This window comes from Homo sapiens, chromosome 7, assembly GCF_000001405.40.
Source record: "Homo sapiens chromosome 7, GRCh38.p14 Primary Assembly".
Classification (NCBI taxonomy): domain Eukaryota; kingdom Metazoa; phylum Chordata; class Mammalia; order Primates; family Hominidae; genus Homo; species Homo sapiens.
Genome location: NC_000007.14, coordinates 72,569,503 through 72,590,877, shown reverse-complemented (window position 1 = coordinate 72,590,877; position 21,375 = coordinate 72,569,503). Strand labels below are relative to the sequence as shown.

General features: G+C 44.2%; 1 protein-coding gene across 4 annotated transcripts in view; it reads left to right on the top strand.

Moving 5' to 3' along the window:
- Positions 1-16,365, top strand: part of TYW1B (tRNA-yW synthesizing protein 1 homolog B) — a 253,688-nt gene extending 237,323 nt beyond the window's left edge. For all 4 annotated transcript variants that reach the window (NM_001412180.1, NM_001412179.1, NM_001145440.3 and 1 more), the window contains one exon: positions 15,159-16,365. In NM_001412180.1, the coding sequence (NP_001399109.1) occupies positions 15,159-15,380 (222 nt within the window). In that variant the 3' untranslated portion in view covers positions 15,381-16,365. The remainder of the gene's footprint in view (positions 1-15,158) is intronic.
- The last annotated feature ends 5,010 nt before the right edge of the window (positions 16,366-21,375 follow it).

The following is a 21,375-nucleotide window of genomic DNA, read 5'->3' as shown; positions in this document are numbered from 1 at the left end:
GATCTGCCATCTACCCTTTCTCAGGGTCAGTTTCTGTTGGATTTGTAGTTTTCTTTTGGATGGACCATACTTCACTGTTTCTTTGTGTGCCTTGTGATTTTCTTGTTGAAAACTGGACATTTGTATCCTATCATGTGGCCACCGTGGGAATCAGATTCTTTGCCTCTCAGTGTTTTCTGGAGTTTTGTTTTGCTTTGTTTTGTTTTGTTTGATTATTGAAGGCTGTCTCTGTGCCAAGGATCAGCCCGAGGTATGAACTTAGTCTTTTCAGTTCTCTTTGAAGACTGTACCTTTCCCTGGGCATCCATGGTAACTATAATTTCCCTATAAATATGTTTATTTTTTAATGTCTTAGTCTTTAATGTACACCTCCCAAAGGTGGGAAAGAGAAAAGTGAAAGAGTAGGGATGGGGGAAGCACTGGCCCTTGAAGTCCCCAGGGAGTCACTTAAGCTAGATGGGGAGGGGCTTGGCACCCTGACTGGCTGCCTCTATTCCGCCCTTCCATGACAAGAACACAGATCCTTAATATTTTGAAGACAGTGTTCTTATTGCCTATCCTGGCTCTTAGAAGCTACATGCAAGCTGCTCCCATAACATGTACACAGCTGCCTGCCATGGGGCTGAGTCGTCAGGGACTGGTAGTGGCTTTGGAGCTAAGAGCGGAGATTGACTGAAAATAACTGCAATTTACTGTCAAGCCTTCCCCTGAATGTTACAAGCCTTCAATAGACTCCAGAGTTCCAAAATAGTTACATCAGACAAATTCTGCCAGTGTAATTTTTGTCTGGGTGGGGTAAAGTATTCCTCGTGCTTTCTACTCCAGCATCTTCCCAGAATCCTCTACCTGGATATTTTTAAAATTTATACTTAGTTGAATTCTGAAGTAAATTAACTTTGCTATTCTCCTTCAGCACAACACAAGGACTTTCCTGTGCTTTTTCCTACAAGTTTCCTTTTAAACAAGTTGATACTTGTTTGTTTGTTTGTTTGTTTATTTTTGAGACAGAGTTTCGCTCTGGTTGCCCAGGCTGGAGTGCAATGGCACGATCTCAGCTCACTGCAACCTCCGCCTCCCGGGTTCAAGTGATTCTCCTGCCTCAGCCTCCCAAGTAGCCGAGATTACAGGTGTACACCACCACAACTGACTGATTTTGCATTTTTAGTAGAGATGGGGTTTCACCATGTTGGTCAGGCCGGTCTTGAACTCCTGACCTCAAGTGATCCACCTGCCTTGGCCTCCCAACATGCTGGGATTACAGGCGTGAGCCACCATGCCCGGCCGATACTTGTTTAGATGTGTCCTCATACATACCACTTTCTCAGTTCACCTTTGTTTCTGGCACTCCCAGCTGTTCCTGCTGGCACAGTTTACTTCTTACTGAACTCAGTGGTAAACTTAGCCTTCTTTTTTCTCCCCAAAACATCTTTATTTCACTTTCTTGAATAATAGATCATCAGAGTAGAAACTCTAAATCGAGGTATTTCCTATTAGCACTTTGAGGATATTCCTCTATTGCCTTCCCACAAAATTATTTCATTATCTTCTAGTGTCTTTCATCACCACGAAGAAAATGTCTGGTGTCATTCCTTAGTTTTGGAGTCTGCTGATAAATTCAGCAACCAGTAACATTTATTAAGGTTACCGTGGTAAGCACTACACATGCCATAACTCATTTAATCCTTACAGAAGTCTATTGGATCATAGATACTATTTTTTCTCATATTCCAAAGGAGGAAACTGAGGCTTAAACGAGTACAAGTCTAGCTGGGTGCAGTGGCTCATGCCTGTAATCCCAGCACTTTGGGAGGCTGAGGCGGGTGGATCACCTGAGGTCAGGGGTTCAAGACCAGCCTGGCCAACATGGCAAAACCCCATCTTTACTGAAAATATAAAAATTAGGTGGGCATGGTGGCACTTGCCTGTAATCCTAGCTACTTGGGAGGCTGAGGCAGGAAAATCACTTGAACCCAGGAGGCAGAGGTTGCAGTGAGCCAAGATTGCACCACTGTACTCCAGCCTGGATGACAGAGCAAGACTCTGTCTCAAAAAAAAAAAAAAGTGCAAGTCTTGTCCAAGGGCAAATAGGACACAACTAGAATTCAATCCCAAGTGTTTCCAAATACAAAGTCTACTTTGAACAAGTACATTGTACAGACAAGGTAGGGAAGGTGAAATGTCCTTTGGAAACAGGAGACAGAGTCCCTGTCCCAGCACAGCCAACAGCAGTCTCCTTGATCTCCATGATCATTAGCTCTGAGAGTCTGGCCATAATTAAGACCCTGTAGATAATTAGGCACTGATCACAGGGACCTCCTCCTTGGAGATAATAAAACTTGTAGTCTGTGAAGGGAGGGGAAGAAGAGCTATCACCACCCCCACACCCTCCCATCTTGGAATAAGAAGGGACTTGTGTATCTCCATTTAGGTTTTGCACAGTATTCTCTTAGCAAAACCTAGTGACTGTGGTACATGTGGAACTCACCCTCATCAGAGGCCTGATTGCTCCCAGCAGCAGTTGCTTTTAGAGAAGTATCAGAGGAAATTGGCATTTTGGTAACGCTGATCAGAGGATTTAGCTCCACTCCAACAAAATTGGAGATTAAAGTTGAAACTTCAGAAAATGAGTTTCCAGATAAACTTTTAGAATTGCACTTGGCTATGTCAAGAATGTAATCTTATGGTTATAGTTTTGTCTGTGAAAATGGTTCCACGGGCAACTGTTACCATGTGAATCCTACTTATTACCAGTAAACTCAGAAGAAGGTGGCAACAGCTCTCAGCATTCCACTATTGCAGGCAATCACAAGTCTGCCCTTGTGATCTCTGCCTCTTCTTACCCAAAGAAGAAACTATACAGTTGTAGCTACAACCGGCAAGAACAAATTTTGGTAAATCTGGGAAGTTCAAAAGATACCACTGTAATGAAACCACCATTGCAAAATTATGACTGAGACAAAGAAAGAGATCTCACCTAACTGACTGCATCTTGCTTCTAACCCCCAAGCTGTCCTTCTTCATTCTTGGGTGTAGACTGAACTAACTTTGGGAGGAATTTAGTTTATAGTTTATAATTTAAAACAAAGATGATAATAGCCCTTCCCTAAAACAAACCTCCTTCTTGCTAGGGACCCGATGGCGTTTGTAGGACTAAGAAATTAGCCAAACGATTAGAAATTAGTGTTTAGGAGTCATGCAGCTGGAGGCTACAAGATTCTGACCCTCCCTAAACTGCCCCTAGGATGAGTGCTTGAGAAATTTTGCAGACCTTGCACTTGATGGATCAGCTGGCACCACCCAGCTTGATAAACTGGCTCATCTGATCTTGTGGCCACCACCCAGGAACTGACTCAGCTCAAGAGGACATCTTCAGTTCCCAATGATGTCATCTCTGACCAATCAGCACTCCTGGCTCACTGGCTTCCCCCCACCCACCAAGTTGTCCTTAAAAACTCTGCTCCCTGAATGCTCAGGGACACCGATTTGAGTAATCATAAAACTCCGGTCTCCCGCACAGCTGGCTCTGTGTGAATTACTCTTTCTCCATTGCAGTTCCCCTGTCTTGATTAATTGGCTCTGTCTAGGCAGTGGGCAAGGTGAACCCACTGGGTGGTTTCAGTAACACTCTTTTTTGTAGTCTAAAAATCACCCCTCAGTATTCCAAAATCACTTCTCCCTCAGACGACCCCTGGACTTCCTCTACTCCCACGCAGTTAACATTAATTTTGAGTTGTGAGAAGGTCCGGTAGCCTCTCTTCTTTCATCAGTACTCCCCCTGCTCTGTGGCTTGTAAGTATGATTGTATGTTTGGAAGACCCATTTAGAAAATAATAATTGACACTAAGATTACATAAAAGCCCTTGAGTGTAGAAATGAAAATAATATGAATGATTCGTTTTGCATTAGTGTTCTTTTTTATTTTTGTTTTATTCCGTTTTGTCTATTATATATGGCCTTTGAAATGCTGATTGTGCAGATAGATGAATTTTACCCAAACAAAGGGCTGACCTTTGCCCTCAGCTTCTAGGAGGTGACCTCTAAGCCCTTGGAATGTCCTGCCTGATAGAGTACCTTTCTTTATTTGTAGGCCTTAGGCCACACCAGCTATTCTATTATTATTATTATTATTATTATTATTTTGAGATGGGCGTCTCACTCTGTCACCCATGCTGGAATGCAGTGGCACGATCTCTGCTCACAGCAACCTCCGCCTCCCAGGTTCAAGTGATTCTCCTGCCTCAGCCTCCTACGTAGCTGGGATTACGGGCATGCACCACCACACCTGGCTAATTTTTGTATTTTTAGTAGAGACGGGGTTTCACCATGTTGGCCAGGCTGGTCTCAAACTCCTGACCTCAGGTGATCCTCCCACCTCAGCTGCCCAAAGTGCTGGGATTACAGGCGTGAGCCACCAAACCCAGCCCCCACACCAGATATTCTCTGCCAACCAAATGATTTCATATGGTTGGGGCTTTGGGCCATGCAGTTATTGGCTCAACCTCTGGAGGGGCTGGAAATTAAGGTCAGACATGTAGCAGTCAACTGTGTCTAGGTGACTGAGCTGCAGTAAAATCTTTGGACACCAAGACTCAGGTGCATTTCCAAGGTTGGCAGCACTCTGTGCATATCATCACACATCCCTGCTGGGAGAAGTTAGCTCTGTCTATAACCCCTCTGCGATAGGACAACTGGAAGCTCCAAGCATGGAATTCTCCTAGACTCGGTCCCACATGCCTGTTCCCTCGGTTAGCGTTAATGTGTGTCCTCCTGCTATAATAAAACATACATGAATATAACAGCTTTCAGAGAGTTCTGTGGGTCCTTCTAGTGAACTGTTAAATCTGGAGGTGGTCTTGGGGGCCCCTGAACTTTGCGCTGGTGAATGTGTTTTCCAATCCTCGTTTCACAATTTCTCATTCTTAACTGCAATATGGGAGTAGCTCTGTTTTCTGGGGTGATTGTGATGGCTAAATGAAGTGAAGTATAAAAAGCATCTAGAATTGTGCCTTGCCTATAGTAGTGTGTTAGTCTTTTCTCATGCTGCTGATAAAGACATACCTGAGATTGGGTAATTTATAAGAAAAAAGAGGTTTAATGGACTCACAGTTCACGTGGCTGGGGTGGCATCACAATCATGGCAGAAGGTGAAAGGCATGTCTCACATGGAGGCAGACAAGAGAAGAGAACTTGTGCAGGGAAACCCCCCTTCGTAAAACCATCAGATCTTGTGAGATTTATTCACTGTCTCCAGAATAGCACAGGAAAGGCCCTCCTCCATGATTCAATTACCTCCCACCTGGTCCCTCCCACAACACATGGGAATTGTGGGAACTATAATTCAAGATGAGATTTGGGTGGAGACACAGCCAAACTGTATCAAGCAGTTTCTTAATAAAGGCTTTTTCCTAAAGGTTCTGACCATTTGCTTTTTAAATAAAGAATGGTATAGTGTTACGTGGAGGAATAGTCATACAAACCACCTCCAATGTTGATGCTAATAAATAGCTTGTGGGATACTCTTTTTTCAGCTCATATATAAGATTTCCTTCTTATTTCAACTCTTGAATGTGTAGAACTATGAGACCTTTGTATGATTAGAACTTTTTTCAGTGACTCTGCAGTATTTGTAACAAAAGCTGGAACAACTTTTAGCAGAACCTGGTTTGAGACAGTGGCTGGGGGCCAGCTGAATGATACAAGTTTTTTCTTTGTGACATTTTGAGTTTGAGGTGACTGGATCTCCCATATAGATGACTCTACGGAGAAGTTACAAGGGAAACCGATGGGAAGTCAGTTCTTCATCTGCAACCTCTTGCCTGTAACTGTTAGGAACTAGTTCATGTAATGGGAGGAGAATATACTTCACTGTGGCAGTTTTATTTTTTTGGTTATTATTTTCTGAGAAGGGATGGAAGCTTGTAAATAAAATCAAACAAATCAAAGGCAGAGCACACTGACTTTAGAGGTCTGCATAAAAAGCTTTCGGCTCCCCTCGTTTGCCTAAGGCCTCTTGTGCTGTACTTGAGTAGAGAAATAATTAACAGACAGTAGGCTTTTTAGTGCACTCATTGTTTAGACTGAATGCCAACAGAAGTTGAAGTACCTTAAGAATTTGGAATATAGGCCGGGTGCGGTGGCTCATGCCTGTAATCCTAGCACTTCAGGAGGCTGAGGCAGGCAGATCACCTGAGGTCAGGAGTTCGAGACCAGCCAGGCCAACGTGGCGAAACCCCATCTCTACTAAAAATGCAAGAATTAGCTGGGCATGGTTGGGCATGCCTGTAATCCCAGCTACTCGGGAGGCTGAGACAGGAGAATCTCTTGAACCTGGGAGGCAGAGGTTTCAGTGAGCCAAGATTGTGCCACTGCACTCTAGCCTGGGCAAGAGTGAGACTCCATCTCAAAAAAAAAAAAAAATTGGAATATACACTGTTTTCTGTAAGTTTTAGATAAGTTAAACAAAGGGAGTTAACTTAGGGATATTGCACACAAATAAGGGGTAAAACAAACAAACAAACAAAAAACAATGCTCTGGCCAGGTGAGGTGGCTCACACCCATATTGCCAGCATTTTAAGAGGCTGAAATGGGAGAATTGCATGAGCCCTGGAATTCAAGACCATCCTGGGCTGCATAGCAAGACTGTCTCTCTACAAAACATTAAAACATTGGCTGGATATGGTGGCATGCACTGTAGTCCCAGCTCTTCCAGAGACTGAGGAGGGAGGATCCTTGAGCCAAAGAAGTTGAGGCTGCAGTGAGCTATGATTGCACAACTGCACTCCAGTCTGGGCGACAGAGGAAGACCCTGTCTCTAAAACAAAACAAAACAAAAAGCCTCTCTTTGCCGTTTCCTTGAGAAATATTTGAAAGACATGACTATTAGTTCTGTCATTTTCCAGTTTGAAAGCTACCAGTAACATGGGATCATGTAATGGCCACGGTCTCTTTAACACCCTCCAATTTGAATCTTGGCCCTTCTACTTCCTGAGGATATGGCCTAAGCACATCTATCACTTAGCTTTTTTTGGACTTTTGCTCTCATTCTAAAGATAGGAATGTGACTACAACATGTTTATTATGTGGATTACACAAGATAGAGAACCAAACATAGCACCTAGTACCCAGTAGGACACTTCACAAGGATTTGTCACTACTGTTTGCCTGCCAGTCCTCTCCTTTCCTCTGCCCTACATTTTTTGGCTGAGGTTGTTGATGTGCTTTTTCCTTTCTTGGATGGATACAGTCACCACTATTTTAAACCTTATTTTTAGTTTTGTCAAAATTCTACATGGACAGTTAAAAAGTCCAAGTTTATTAAAAAACAAAACAAAAACAAAAAACAGCATTTCCTTGTACCCTCCTCAAACACAAACACACCTCCATTTCCCCCTCTCAAACAACAACCACTTTCAGATTTTCTAGGTGATTCATTTGGTATTTATCTCCGTATCTCTAAATAGCATACTTATATTGCTGCTCGCCCCTGCACCCCCAACCCGCCATTTTGCTAATTATCTTTCTTTTTTTGAGGCGGAGTCTTGCTCTGTCCCCCAGGCTGGAGTGCAGTGGCACGATCTCGGCTCACTGCAACCTCCACCTCCCGGGTTCAACCAGTTCTCATGCTTCAGCCTCCCGAGTAGCTGGGACTGCAGGAGGCTGCCAGTTTTTGTATTTTTAGTAGAGATGGGGTTTCACCTTGTTGGCCAGGCTGGTCTTGAACTCCTGACCTCAAATGATCCACCCACCTTGGCCTCCCAAAGTGCTGGGATTACAGGTGTGAGCCACCATGCCTGGCCGCTTATTATCTCTTTATTGTGTACCATGGAAGATGAGGCTCGAGCTTGCTTCTACCTTCTCCTGGAATATCCTTTCCCATTCCCCCACCCTCCTAACATACACATACCAGATTTTTGTTTAGATGATTTTTTTTGCATTATTATAACCACGTGAACACTGTTCACAGTCAAGCCATGCCATCTCCTGCAATTGCTATTTGTTTCCAGTGCCACCTTTGGTTAACTTTTATTATTTTCTTCATCTAGATTTCTGTGTTCTTTTGTTAACAACTCTCAAACTCTCTGCCATCTCAAATATATTGCCTCTCAGACTTTCAGATGCGTTGGATTTGCTATCAGGTTCATCTTTTTGAAGAAGTCTCTGCAGGACACTTACTTACCCACCTACCTTGGACAGTTCACTCTCTACCACCTAGTTCACAGCTGTTATCCTGAGATCACCAGCTCTGTCTTGAGTGAAATGTCTCTGGGATCCCGTGTTTCCTAAAATTACTCTTTCATTCACAGGAAACGCAACTTCTAGGAGATTCCTAAGAAACTGGCATGTAAAAAGTACAACTTTTTGAGACCTTTAATGTCCAAACGTGTTTTCATTCTCCCTATGCATTTGATTTGGATATAGAATTCTTGGCTGGAAACTATTCCCCCTTTGAGGTTGGACCTACTGTCTTTCAGCTTTCCTTGCAGTAATTGAGAACTCAAAAGGCATTCAGATTCCTAATCCTCTGTGTATGACCATGTTTTTCTCATTCGATTTTCTCTTTGTCTCCATTGTTTTGAAATTTCGCTATAATGTGCCTCAGACGGTGTGTCTGGTTTTATCCATTGTAGACACCTTTAATGTGGAAACTCATGTCCTTCACTTCTTAACATTTCCAGAATTATTTCAACGAATATATCCTCTCTTCTATTTTTTTTTTCTCCTTTCTGTCTAGAACTACTAAAAAGAAAAGTTTTAAATTGGGTCTTATGGACTAGTTCTTTAATATTAAAAAAAAAAAAAAATCTTTTTTGCCAGGTGCAGTGGCTCACACGTGTTATCCCAGCACTTTGGGAGGCCTAGGCAGGTGAATCACCTGAGGTCAGGAGTTCAAGACCAGCCTGGCTAACATGGTGAAACCCCATCTCTACTAAAAATACAAAAAATTAGCCGGGCGTGGTGGCGTGTGCCTGTAGTCCCAGCTACCCTGGAGGCTGAGGCAGGAGAATCTCTTGTACCTGGGATGTAGAGGTTGCAGTGAGCTGAGATCATGCCATTGCACTCCAGCCTGGGTGACAGAGTGTCTGCGCCTGGCCACTGCCCCCAGCCTCTTTTTATTTTTATCCCTCTATCATGTTAGAAGTTTTTCTGAGGTGGCTGATGGTCATTGGTTATATGCTTGTATTTGAGAGTGGGAGACTAAAGACCAGCCTGGCCAACATGGTGCAACTCCATCTCTTCAAAAAATACAAAAATTAGCTGGGTATGGTGGTGCACACCTGTAATCCCAGCTACTCAGGAGGCTGAGGCAGGAGAATCACGTGAACCCGAGAGGTGGAGGTTGCAGTGAAGCCGAGATTGCGCCACTGCACTCCAGCCTGGGCAACAGAGCATGACTCCGTCTCAAAAATAAATAAATAAAAATGATAATAAAAAATAAAGAGCACCCTTATGGTATGGGGCTGACTCTATCTTGGAGTGATCTGCTGGATCATTTCCTTAGGGAATCCCAACCTCAGTATCTTGTCATCTGTCTTCTTGGGCTGGTCAGTAGGGTCTTCTCATTTTCTGCAGCTTGCAATGGTCCCTGGTGGTCCAGAAACAGGAAAGGAAATAGTTTTATTATGGCAGCCCTGCTCTCAGCTATACCTGCTGTCCCACAGACCACAGATCCTTTCTGAATTGTCTTCTGAGAAGAAACCTCTAAGCATCTGTCGGGGCATGGAGTGGGCAGGTGCTCAGCTGTGAATATATGCAGGGGGCTCAGGAACTTGAGATTCTAATCGTGTCTTAAACAGAATATAAACCTGCCTTTGGGTTTTTGGTGGGGAGTGGGTTTGGTACCTCCTCAATCCATGCTTCCTGTCGGGGGAACTAGTGCAGCCAGTTTCTGAGCCTTTGAGGAATTCTAAAGCATAATTTGGGCTGAATCTTGGATTTCTCTATTTGCTGGCTTAGGATTCAGCTCTCTTGGGTCTGCTAAACCAGTTTGCTCACCCATCATCTGTTCAGCTTCTGAAAGTCCAATACTGTTTTCTCCTCTCCTGGTAGCTTTATTTTTATGTTATATATCTTTTTTAAATGTTCTTACTGTCATTTTAGTGGGGTTTCAAGAGGAAGTAATAGTAAATGCATGCGTTTAATCTACCATCTTTAATGGAATCTTTTTAAACATTTACACTAACAGAGAACCTATGCCATTATTATTGTTTAGTGAAATTCTCCCTGTGTGAAAGAGGAGAACATAAGGAGAACAAGGCCCCTTTGTACAGCAGTTTGATTCTTGCAGAGAGTGGGAGCCTGCATTGCCTCATCTAGCCAGCAAGGCCACAGACCCTTAGCAGCCTGGCTTTATTAAGTCAGGCTGTATCTTATTGCGCTTGTGTGTTTTTAAGATCATTTATGACCTTTTGAGTTTATTTGTAATTCTGCATAGATTCCGTTCTTCCCTTACTGTTGGATTCGAGGGATTCTTTTAGCAGGGTGACCTCGTGTCTCAGGATACTTAACCTCAGATTTTACGATTTGGGGTTTCATGCCTCTGTTTATGCAGCTGTCTCTCAGCGCTGTTTGTGTGTCAGTCATACCAAGTTTTGCTCTTTCAGCTTCTGCCTTTTACATGGAACACTTTGATTTTTTCTGAGCTGTGATTATTCAGTATGATTCGTCTCCGATTGCCCTGAGAGGTGGCACATGTGGTTCAGTTTTGTCTTTTGGGTCTAGTGGCTCTGTTCATTTCAGAATAACTTACTCTTAAGGACTGAATGTTTGTGGCCCCCCTCCCCTCCCAAGTTCATAGGTTGAGGTCCTAATTCCCAGTGTGGCTATATTTGGAGATGGGGTTTCAAAGGAAGCAACTGGGATTAAATGAGGTTATAGGGGTAAGCCCTGATCTAATAGGATCAGTGTTTTTGTAAGAAGAGACATCAGGGCTGGGTGCGGTGGCTCATGCCTATGATCCTAGCATTTTGGGAGATCAAGGTGGGAGGATCACTTGAGGCCAGGAGTTCAAGAGCAGCCTGGGCAAAATAGCTAGACCCTTTCTCTACAGAAAATTTAAAAATTAGTTGGGCATGGTGACATGTACCTGTAGTCTCAGCTACGCAGGAGGCTGAGGTGGGAGGATGGCTTGAGCCCACAAGATTGAGGCTGCAATGTGCAATAGTTGCACCACTGCACTCCAGCCTGGGTGACAGAGTGAGAACCTATCTCTTAAAAAAAAGGAAGAAGAAGAGACATGAGAGGGCCCAAGTCACTTGCTCACTCACTTTCCGTGTACATGTACCAAGAAAAGGCCATGTGGGACAAAGCAAGAAGGCAGCCACCTGCAAGACAGGAAGAGAGCCCTCACCAGAAACTGAGCCAGAACCTTGGAATTCCAGCCTCCAGAACTGTGAGAAAAGAATTTTCTGTTGTTTCAGTTCCCCACACTATGGCATTTTGTTACGGCAGCCTGAGCTAATACTCCTACTTTGTCCTGCATTTACTTGGTCTTCCAGTTAGTTTTTTTAGACTTTGGGAATCAGAGCAGTCAGTTATCAGATTTTAGCTTACAGTTGTCCTACCTGTGCAACAGAAATTTCTTCCATTTTAAAGCAGAGCAGAGTTTTAGAGTCAAAAGAAACCAGATCTTTTAGTGCAGAAGTTTTCAAACTGCATTAGAAGTGAGGAAGTTGGTTTTGTGAGTTGCAGCCAGCAGTTCTCTTATGAAGTGCATTGCCTGCAGTTTTGTGAAAGTTGTATTCCCAGCTTGTGTGTGTATATTTGCGTGTACTAGATTGAGATATAAAGTATATTTTTGACTGTAAGTATGGTTAAAAAAAAAAAAATTAAGTCCATTGTATTGCTCAAACCAATCCTTTACTCTCTCTTAGAACACCCATGGCAAATAATTATGTTAGAGTTTGAGGGTGAAGGAGCATCAGGATTATGAACCAGAGGGGTCAGACTTCAGACCTAGAAATCGAAACACCAAAGGGACACAAATAGGGAAGAAGAGAGAATGGTCATCTCTGTCTTTCAGCAAGCAACACTGGGATCCCGAAAAAGACTCCTCTACGGGGCCAAGCTTCTGTGATTTATCACACCTGTCCCTGTACTCCCCAAGTGCCTTGTACATAACCTCACCCACTATACACGCTATGTTGTATTATAATTATTTTCTAAATGTATGTAACTGGGCCAAGTCCATAGTTGGCCCAGTTGGCCCATGTTGATGGATGGATCATGATTTTTGGCCTCATTTGACTGTCATGCATGTTAAATTACATGTTAATGTCATGTCAGTCACCCCAGGCTCAGTCAAGGGTGAGTGTCATGCCTCTGTCATGAATACACAGTGAAGCAGTCCCTTCTATTCTATGGAGCCAGTAGCAGCAAAATCCCATCATGTCTCAAGATGTCAGTAGACCAGGTGGAATTTTGATTCTTTGTATGGTCTTCTAGCTTTGTTAAGAGGTGAGGAAGGGCTGGGTGCAGTGGCTCATGCCTGTTATCCCAGCACTTTGGGAGGCCAAGACAGGCGGATCACGAGGTCAGGAGATCGAGACCATCCTGGCTAACACGGTGAAACCCCGTCTCTATTAAAAATACAAAAAAAATTAGCCAGGCGTGGTGGTGGTCGCCTGTAGTCCCAGCTACTCGGGAGGCTGAGGCAGGAGAATGGCAAGAACCCGGGAGGCAGAGCTTGCAGTGAGCCGAGATTGCGCCACTGCACTCCAGCCTGGGTGACAGAGCGAGACTCCGTCTCAAAAAAAAAAAAAAAAATGGTGAGGAAGAGAGGCTGGGCCCTCGCATGTCCTGGGTGACGGCATACGTTGTTAAGGTCATATATTCACAGAGCCAGCAGGCTTGGTGGGGTGGAATGCAGGAGGAAACTGCAGGGGCCATTATAGTGTCTGTGGAAGTTCAGGACAGTGAGGTCCTGTGGCCAGAAAACTGACAGAAACTGTCTAACATGGGAACTCTCTCACTGCAACCGAACTAACAGGATTTAGGAAGACTCCCCAGAGCAGAGGATGAAGGACATGTGAGTTAGACAGAGGGAACAGCTTGGGCGTCACGTGAGAGGACCACAGCTCACCAAGAGATGCAGATTTGATACTCAGACTTTACATTCAGGATCGTAGGAATCAATTCTGCTGTCGGCACAGTCTCAGGCCGTCTGTGTGAAGTTGAGAGAAGCCACAGCTGGAATCAGAAGGTCAATTGGCTGGAAGACAGTGGCTGCGGCCCAGAGGAAGGGCCTGCGTGACCAAGTCACGCCACCGGCGGCAGAAGTGCTGCCCAGGGAGAATCGATGGAGGTGTGAAGGGCCAGGGAAAAGGAGGTCACCTTTGACTCTGCAGTTTCGAGGCTCAGTGCCTGGGAATGACAGTGATTGCTTCCACAACAGTAGACAACACTTCAGGGACAGTCTGTCTTGGGAGAGAGAATGATGGTGAGATATAAATTTTACATCTTGGGTTGTAGAGTTCACAGGGCCCTTGAGGCACCATTTCCAAGAATGGTCTTATTACAAGAAAATTTCCTCTAATTCATAGAGTAATTAAACTTTTCCGCATATTCAGCATTTTCCCCCTAGAAAGCTCTTAGCTAGTGGGTAAAAAATCAGATGTCATTTAAATTCAACATATTTTAATATTCTAAATTCAGGAACCTATGTATTTTCTTTTCTTTTTTTTTTTTGTGGCTAGAACAGGAAATTTTTCCTTAGTTCATTTAGTTAGTCGGAGTTTTCTTATTTTTATTTTTGAGACAGAGTTTCACTCTCATCACTGAGGCTAGAGTGCAGTGGCATGGTCTTGGCTCACTGCAACCTCCACCTCCCAGGTTCAAGTGATTCTCCTGCCTCAGCCTCCCAAGTAGCTGGGATTACATGCACACACCACCACGCCTGGCTAATTTTTGTATTTTTAGTAGCGATGGGGTTTTACCATGTTGGCCAGGCTAGTCTTGAACTCCCGACCTCAGGTGATCCACCTGCCTCGGCCTTTGAAAGTGCTGGGATGACAGGCATGAGCCACCATGCCCGGCCATTAGTCGAAGTTTTTTAAAAGATAGTGGCATGGGCCGGGTGTGGTGGCTCACGCCTGTAATCCCAGCACTTTGGGAGGCCGAGGCCGGCGGATCACGAGGTTAGGAGATCGAGACCATCCTGGCTAACACGGTGAAACCCCGTCTTTACTAAAAATACAAAAAATTAGCCAGGTGTGCTAGCGGGAGCCAAGAGTCCCAGCTACTCAGGAGGCTGAGGCAGGAGAATGGCGTGAACGCAGGAGGCGGAGCTTGCAGTGAGCCGAGATCAGGCCACTACACTCCAGCCTGGGCTACAGAGCGAGACTCCGTCTCAAAAAAAAAAAAAAAAAAAAAGACAGTGGCATGACAAGTACTTGTCTGTTTATGAGTCAGGTATCAGCGTATTAGTTAATACATTTACACAAATGAATGCCAAACAAATGCTTTGAATTAAAAGCCTTCACAGTTCAATTAGTATTTCCTTCTGAGCCTCTTCAACTTTCTTTCTGTTTTCTTCATTCCAGGTCATTATTCTACCGTGACTTTTGAGAAGCAATTTTCTTAAGAGAGTACAAATTGGATTATCCCCTCTTACTGAATTGAAATTGTTCAGGCTTTCCACTAATGAGATATTGTATCCACGTTAGGCCAGAAAAGCTAGTTTGAGTCATTTAGTTAGCATGTTTGAATTAGAAGTTATTGATGAAACCTTCACTAATAACTCAAGCCAAGTTGAGTCTAAAAAGGATTCCACGAGATGCTGTTAACACAGCCTTGAAAATTTGTAACCGATCAAAAGCGGCAACAGCAGGAATTAGAATGAGTTTGAATTAGTCACATGGTAACACGGAAACATTTAACCCTGTGTCAGCGGGACTGCTTGAGATAAACTTGACTTGTCTTCCGGGCCCAGCAAAACTGCAGGCCCAAGGGAAAGGAAGCTCTCCTGTGATTGTAGCGCATCTTGCTTTGATAGGAAGTCATGTCTGGAACATGGAAGAGGTTTTTTTGTGTTTGTTTTTGTTTTTGTTTTCTTGGCGTGATAGGGAGAAAAGATCAGACTTGTTCATGATTTTTAAAAACATTCATTTTTTTTTTCTAGGGATGTTTTTACTTCTGACTTGACACATTTTTTTCTTTCCAGTTTAAAATTGGTGGTGAATGGTGGACATGGATCGATTATAACCGCTTCCAGGAGCTCATCCAGGAATATGAAGATAGTGGTGGATCAAAAACGTTCAGCGCAAAGGATTATATGGCCAGAACTCCTCACTGGGCATTATTTGGTGCCAATGAAAGAAGCTTTGATCCCAAGGACACAAGACATCAGAGAAAGAACAAATCAAAGGCTATTTCTGGATGTTGAGATTATCTGATTTCAAGGTACTGAAGGACAAAAACTTGGATGGCCTCAAAAGGTTCTTGAACACCACTCTGATTCTCCAAGGACGAATTACGTAAATTATACTTTCATACAAAGGAGACGATAAGGCAGTAAACATGGAGACACGGGGGACAGCGTCCACACTCAGAGGGCCTGGGCCACAGCCCCGATGTTTCTTTTCAGAACTCAGCCCCTTTCCTGATTTTACTTCTAAGAGGAAAATTATTTTGGGGAGGAACTACACAGTCGTGATTAGAATTTAACTGATGGTTTTGTATTATAACTTCTAAGACCTGCCAGAATGCTAGTCCTGAGAGTGTCAGACAAGGAAGAAATCCCTGGGCCTCTTCCCCTCACCTGGCCCTTGGATTTCATGGAGCAGCCACTTAGCATTGAATTGCACTACCCTGAGCTAAACGTGTCTGTGCTTTCTAAGATAAGAGCTTGATCCCTTTCTTCTGTCTTAAGACAGCACCTCCTGAAAAGAATCGAAGTTGTCACAACTCTCAATTATTTTTTAAATACTGCATAGATTGAGTTTTGGTTTATTACTAACCCTTCCCAAAATTGCATCGGATCTAAAACTACTAGATCTCATCCCATTCCCATGTAAATTACCACAGACCGCAGTACCGGGGCTGGAGCGGAGTGAAGCTGTCTGCTGTAAGAGGAGTGGCCATGTGAGGGCATGGAGTCATTAGTCTCACAAACACACTTTGGACTGAAGAGGATCATTTCTTTTTGTTCGTGAGGTCACTGTCCGGGCCTCTCATATCACGACCAGACGGCGGGTCTCCATCTTCTTTGACTCCTGTGGCCCTCGCTGCTTTACACAATCTGTTCTATAAGGTTCAGGTGTTTTCAAGTTGGAAAGATCATAAATACTCAAAATTGTTTTCAAGTTAGCAAATTCTTTTAACAGTCTTTTATGCAAAAATTGAATTAATAAAATAATATTTTGTAAAGACTTGCAGCATGAGTTTTTTTAAATTTTTATTCTAATTATTGTGGGTCCATATTAGGTATATATATGGGGTACATGGGATGTTTTCATACAAGCATGCAATGCGTAATAATCACATCATGGAGAATGGGGTCTCCATCCCCACAAGCATTTATCCTTTGTGCTAAAACCAATCCAATTATACTCTTTTAGTTATTTTTTATTTTTATTTATTTATTTATTTTGAGACAGAGTCTCACTGTCACCCAGGCTGGAGTGCAGTGGTGTAATCTTGGCTCACTGTCACCTCTGCCTCCCGGGTTCAACTGATTCTCCTGCCTCAGCCTCCCGAATAGCTGGGATTACAGGCATGCACCACCAGGCCTGGCTAATTTTTGCATTTTTAGTAGAGATGGGATTTCACCATGTTGGCCAGGCTGGTCTCGAACTCCTGACCTCAGGTGATCCTCCTGCCTCAACTTCCCAAAGTGCTAGGATTACAGGCATGAGCCACCACTCCTGCAGTCCTAAACCCTGTTAGACCCACCTTTTGTAACTCTATCCTCTATTCTGTGCTGAAATAAAATTCATAGATATATAATCTACCTACCCAGTTGAAAACTGGACACCTTTTTTTTTTCTTTTTTTTTTTTGGCAACAGGGTCTCGCTGTGTTGCTGAAGCCGGAGTGCAGTAGCACAATCACGGCTCACTGCAGCCTCAATCTCCTGGGCCCAAGCAGTCCTCCCACCTCAGCCTCCTGCATAGCTGGGACTGCAGGCATACACCACCAAGCTCAGCTAAATTTTTTTGATGTTTTTCGTAGACACAGGGTCTCACTATGTTGCCCAGGCTGGTCTTGAGCTCCGGAACTTGGGAGATCCTCCCGCCTCAACCTCCGATAGTGGCTAGGATTACAGGCATGAGACACTACACCTGGCCACCGTACTTATTTCTCTTTTTTTTTTTTTTTTTGAGATGGAGTCTTGCTCTGTCACCCAGGCTGGAGTGCAGTGGCGTGATCGCGGCTCACTGCAACCTCCACCTCCTAGGTTCAAGCGATTCTCCTGCCTCAGCCTCCCGAGTAGCTGGGACTACAGGCACCCGCCACCACGCCTGGCTAATTTTTGTATTTTTAGTAGAGACTGGGTTTCACCATATTGGCCAGGCTGGTCTCAAACTCCTGACCTTGTGATTCACCCGCCTCGGCCTCCCAAAGTGCTGGGATTACAGCCGGGAGCCACTGCACCCACCCCACCATACTTATTTCTAAATGGTAGAATCAAAATACTTTTCTGTATTGTTACATGGATCATTGAATACAGGAAAGACCAGTCGTTTTTCCCTCTGTACTCACACCACTCAATCCTTCACTTCTGACACCAAATTTGTGGGGCTTTTTGCTATACCAATCAATTCTCTGACACCAGCCGGGCATCCTACTGTTCAGTTCAATTCTGATGCTAATGAATTAACAAAGACTCCCTGAGTTAAGAGCTCAGTCCCAACGCCGGGCACCCTGGCTCACGCCTGTAATCCCAGCACTTTGGGAGGCTGAGGCAGGCGGATTACCTGAGGTCAGGAGTTCAAGACCAGCCTGACCAACATGGTGAAACTCCGTCTCTACTAAAATTACCAAAATTAGCCGGACATGGTGTTGTGCGCCTGTAATCCCAGCTACTCAGGAGGCTGAGGCAGGAGAATGGCTTGAACCCAAGAGGCGGAGGTTGCAGTGAACTGAGATCGCACCGCTGCACTCCAGCCTGGGTGACAAAGCAAGACTCCGTCTCAAAAAAAAAAAAAAAAAAAAAAAAAATGCCCAGTCCCACAAGACTGCCCCTCACTTCAGACACTAGTTGCAGGTAGGAGGTCCCCAGGTTACCCACAGCTTGTTTGACATGGCCATAAATCAGAGGTTCTTTGTCTGTAAATCAGAGGAACCCCATTCTTAGGTTCAATAATTTGCTAGAGTAGCCCACAGAACCCAAGAAAACAATTCACTTACTATTGCTGATTTATTAGGATTTTTTTTTTTTTTTTTGAAACAGTCTTGCTCCATTGCCCATGTAGGAGTGCAGTGGTACAATCTCAGCTCAGTACAACCTCTGCCTCCTGGGTTCAAGGGATTCTTGTGCCTCAGCCTCCCAAGTAGCTGGGATTACAGGCAGGAACCACCACGCCTGGCTAATTTTGGTATTTTTAGTACAGACAGGAGTTCACCATGTTGGTCAGGCTGGTCTTGAACTCCTGACCTCAAGTGATCCGCCTGCCTCAGCCTTCCAAAGTGCTGGGATTACAGGCTTGAGCCACCGCGCCCAATTTATTAGGATATTTCAAAGGGTACAAATGAACAGGCAGATGAAAGGATACAGAGGGCAAGGTCTGGGAAGATCCTGGGCAGAGAAGCTTCTGTCCCTGGGGAGTTGAGCTGTGCCACCCTCCCAGCAAGTTGATGTATTTACCAGTCTGGAAGCTCCCTATGTGCCATAGTTAGTGGTGGTTACGGAAGCTTCATCATGTAGGCACCCCAGCAGATTGGGGGTGGGGCTGAAAGTTCCAATCTTCTAATCATGTCGGTCCTTCTGGTGGCCAGCCTCCATCCAGGAGCCCACCAAAAAACAAGCCCACTTCATTAGAACAAAAGATGCTCCTGTAACCCAGGACATTCCAAGAGATTTGGAGCTCAATGGCAGGAGCTGGGTCAAAAAGCAAATATGAGGATAAAAGCTGCACCCGTGCTGGGTGCACTCAGGAGATTACAAGGGTTTCAAGAGCTCTGTGCCAGGTACCAAGGACAGAGACTAAATATCAAATATATAAAATTATGTCACAGATGGGATAGTGACAAAGTAGCACAGAAGTGTTATCTTTCTTGAAGTCACTGGGTCTTTTTTTTGAGATGGAGTTTCATTCACTCTGTTGCCCAGGCTGGAGTGTAGTGGTGAGATCTTGGCTCACTGCAACCTCTGCCTTCAGGTTCAAGTGATTCTCCTGCCTCAGCCTCCTGAGTAGCTGGGACTATAGGCATGTGCCACGAACACCTGGCTAATTTTTGTATTTTTAGTAGAGATGGGGTTTCACCATGTTGGCCAGGCTGGCCTCGAACTCCTGACCTCAAGTGATCCACCCACCTCGACCTCCCAGAGTGCTGGGATTACAGGTGTGAGCCACTGCGATTGGCCCAAGTCACCAGGTCTTTAAGAACATTTTTTGTTTTTAAATTTAATTTAAATTTAACAGATGGGGTCTCACTCTGTCACCCAGGCTGGAGTGCAGCAGTGCAATCACTGCTCACCACAGCCTCAAACTCCTGGGCTCAAACAATCCTCCCACCTCAGTCTCTTGAGTAGCTGGGACCACCAGCACATGCCACCACGCCTGTCTAATTTTCAATTTTTTGTAGAGATGGGGTCTTGCTGTGTTACCCAATCTGGTCTTGAACTCCTGGCCTCAAACAATTCTACCATCTTAGACTCCCAAAGCACTGGGACTATAGGTGTGAACCACCATGCCTGGTCCCTGCCACATCTTTCAGCTTCTGTTCAGTCCCCTGTTCTGCTGATTTAATGCAACAGACAGGGCCAGGTGGTCCAAGTCAGTGAAGCAGGGTCTCACTGAGACACAGATGTGTTAGTGGTCATTGAAGAGAGATGGAAAAAGTCTTTCAAGTAGGATGAAATGTTAGAAAGTAAGAGCTTATGCTAAGGAGCCCACAGATGGGCTCTTATACAGGAGAGTTAACAAAGCATCCAGTTGTTGGAAAGCACCTCGGAGGCTGCCCTAAGGAGCGAGGAAGGAGGCAGAGCATGCAGGACTTTGTGCTACTCCTCAACCTCTTTTCAACCACACAGGTCTGCTTTTCTTTTTTATGAATTGGTGTGCTGCTTAAGATTTTTTTTTTTGAGACAGTCTTGCTCTGCCACCCAGGCTGGAGTGCAGTGGTGTGATCTCAGCTCACTGCAACCTCTGCATCCCGGGTTCAAGTGATTCTCTGCCTCAGCCTCCTGATAGCTGGGATTTCAGGCACAAGTCACCATGCCTGGTGAATTTTTGTATTTTTAGTAGAGATGGGGGGAGGGGGGTATCACCATGTTGGCCAGGCTAGTCTCGAATTCCTGACCTCAAGTGATCCGCCCAACTCAGCCTCCCAAAGTGCTATGATTACAAGTGTGAGCCACCATGCGTGGCCTCAAGATTTAAATTGAACAAAGATATTTTATTGTTTCAAAGAAAAAAAAAAGCAAACCTCTTACCTACAGAATGAACCCTCCTGATTCCATTAACTTTTTTTTTTTGAGACAGAGTCTCGCTGTGTCACCCAGGCTGGAGTGCAGTGGCACGATCTCAGCTCACTGCAAGCTCTGCCTCCCAGGTTCACGCCATTGTCCTGCCTCAGCCTCCCCAGTAGCTGGGACCACAGGCGCCCGCCACCACGCCTGGCTAATTTTTTGTATTTTTAGTAGAGACGGAGTTTCACCGTGTTAGCCAGGATGGTCTCAATCTCCTGACCTCATGATCTCAATCTCCTGACACTCATCAATAGATGAGTGTTTTTCTTTCATCCCAGAAAATATTGATGTATTGATTCATATTTAAAATAACAACACTTTAAGCCCAGTTCACAGTCACAACAGAACATTTGAAATGTCTAAGGAAAATACAGTGCAATCTACATGAAAACATTCATTAAGTTTGCTGAACAGTATAAAAGTGGGAGAGAATGGGAAACCTGAATGTTCTAAGAAGGTGATCTGTTTGCAAAATAACATCCCAAGTTCTATCAGAATTTCTTTTTGGAGCTTAAGAAAATGATTCTAACTGAAAAATTAGCCAAACAGACAATAGTTAAGAAATTTTAGAAAAAATAACTATTAAGTGAAAGTTGGTTTATAAGATGTTAAAATATGCTACCTAAATAATTAAAATGAAATGAGATCAGTTCCAAAATGGCAGAGTGGGGGCCTCAGTGAACTCTGTCTCCCTCTAAAACAATGAAAATATGCGCAATACAACTAAAATAAACCAATTTTAGAAT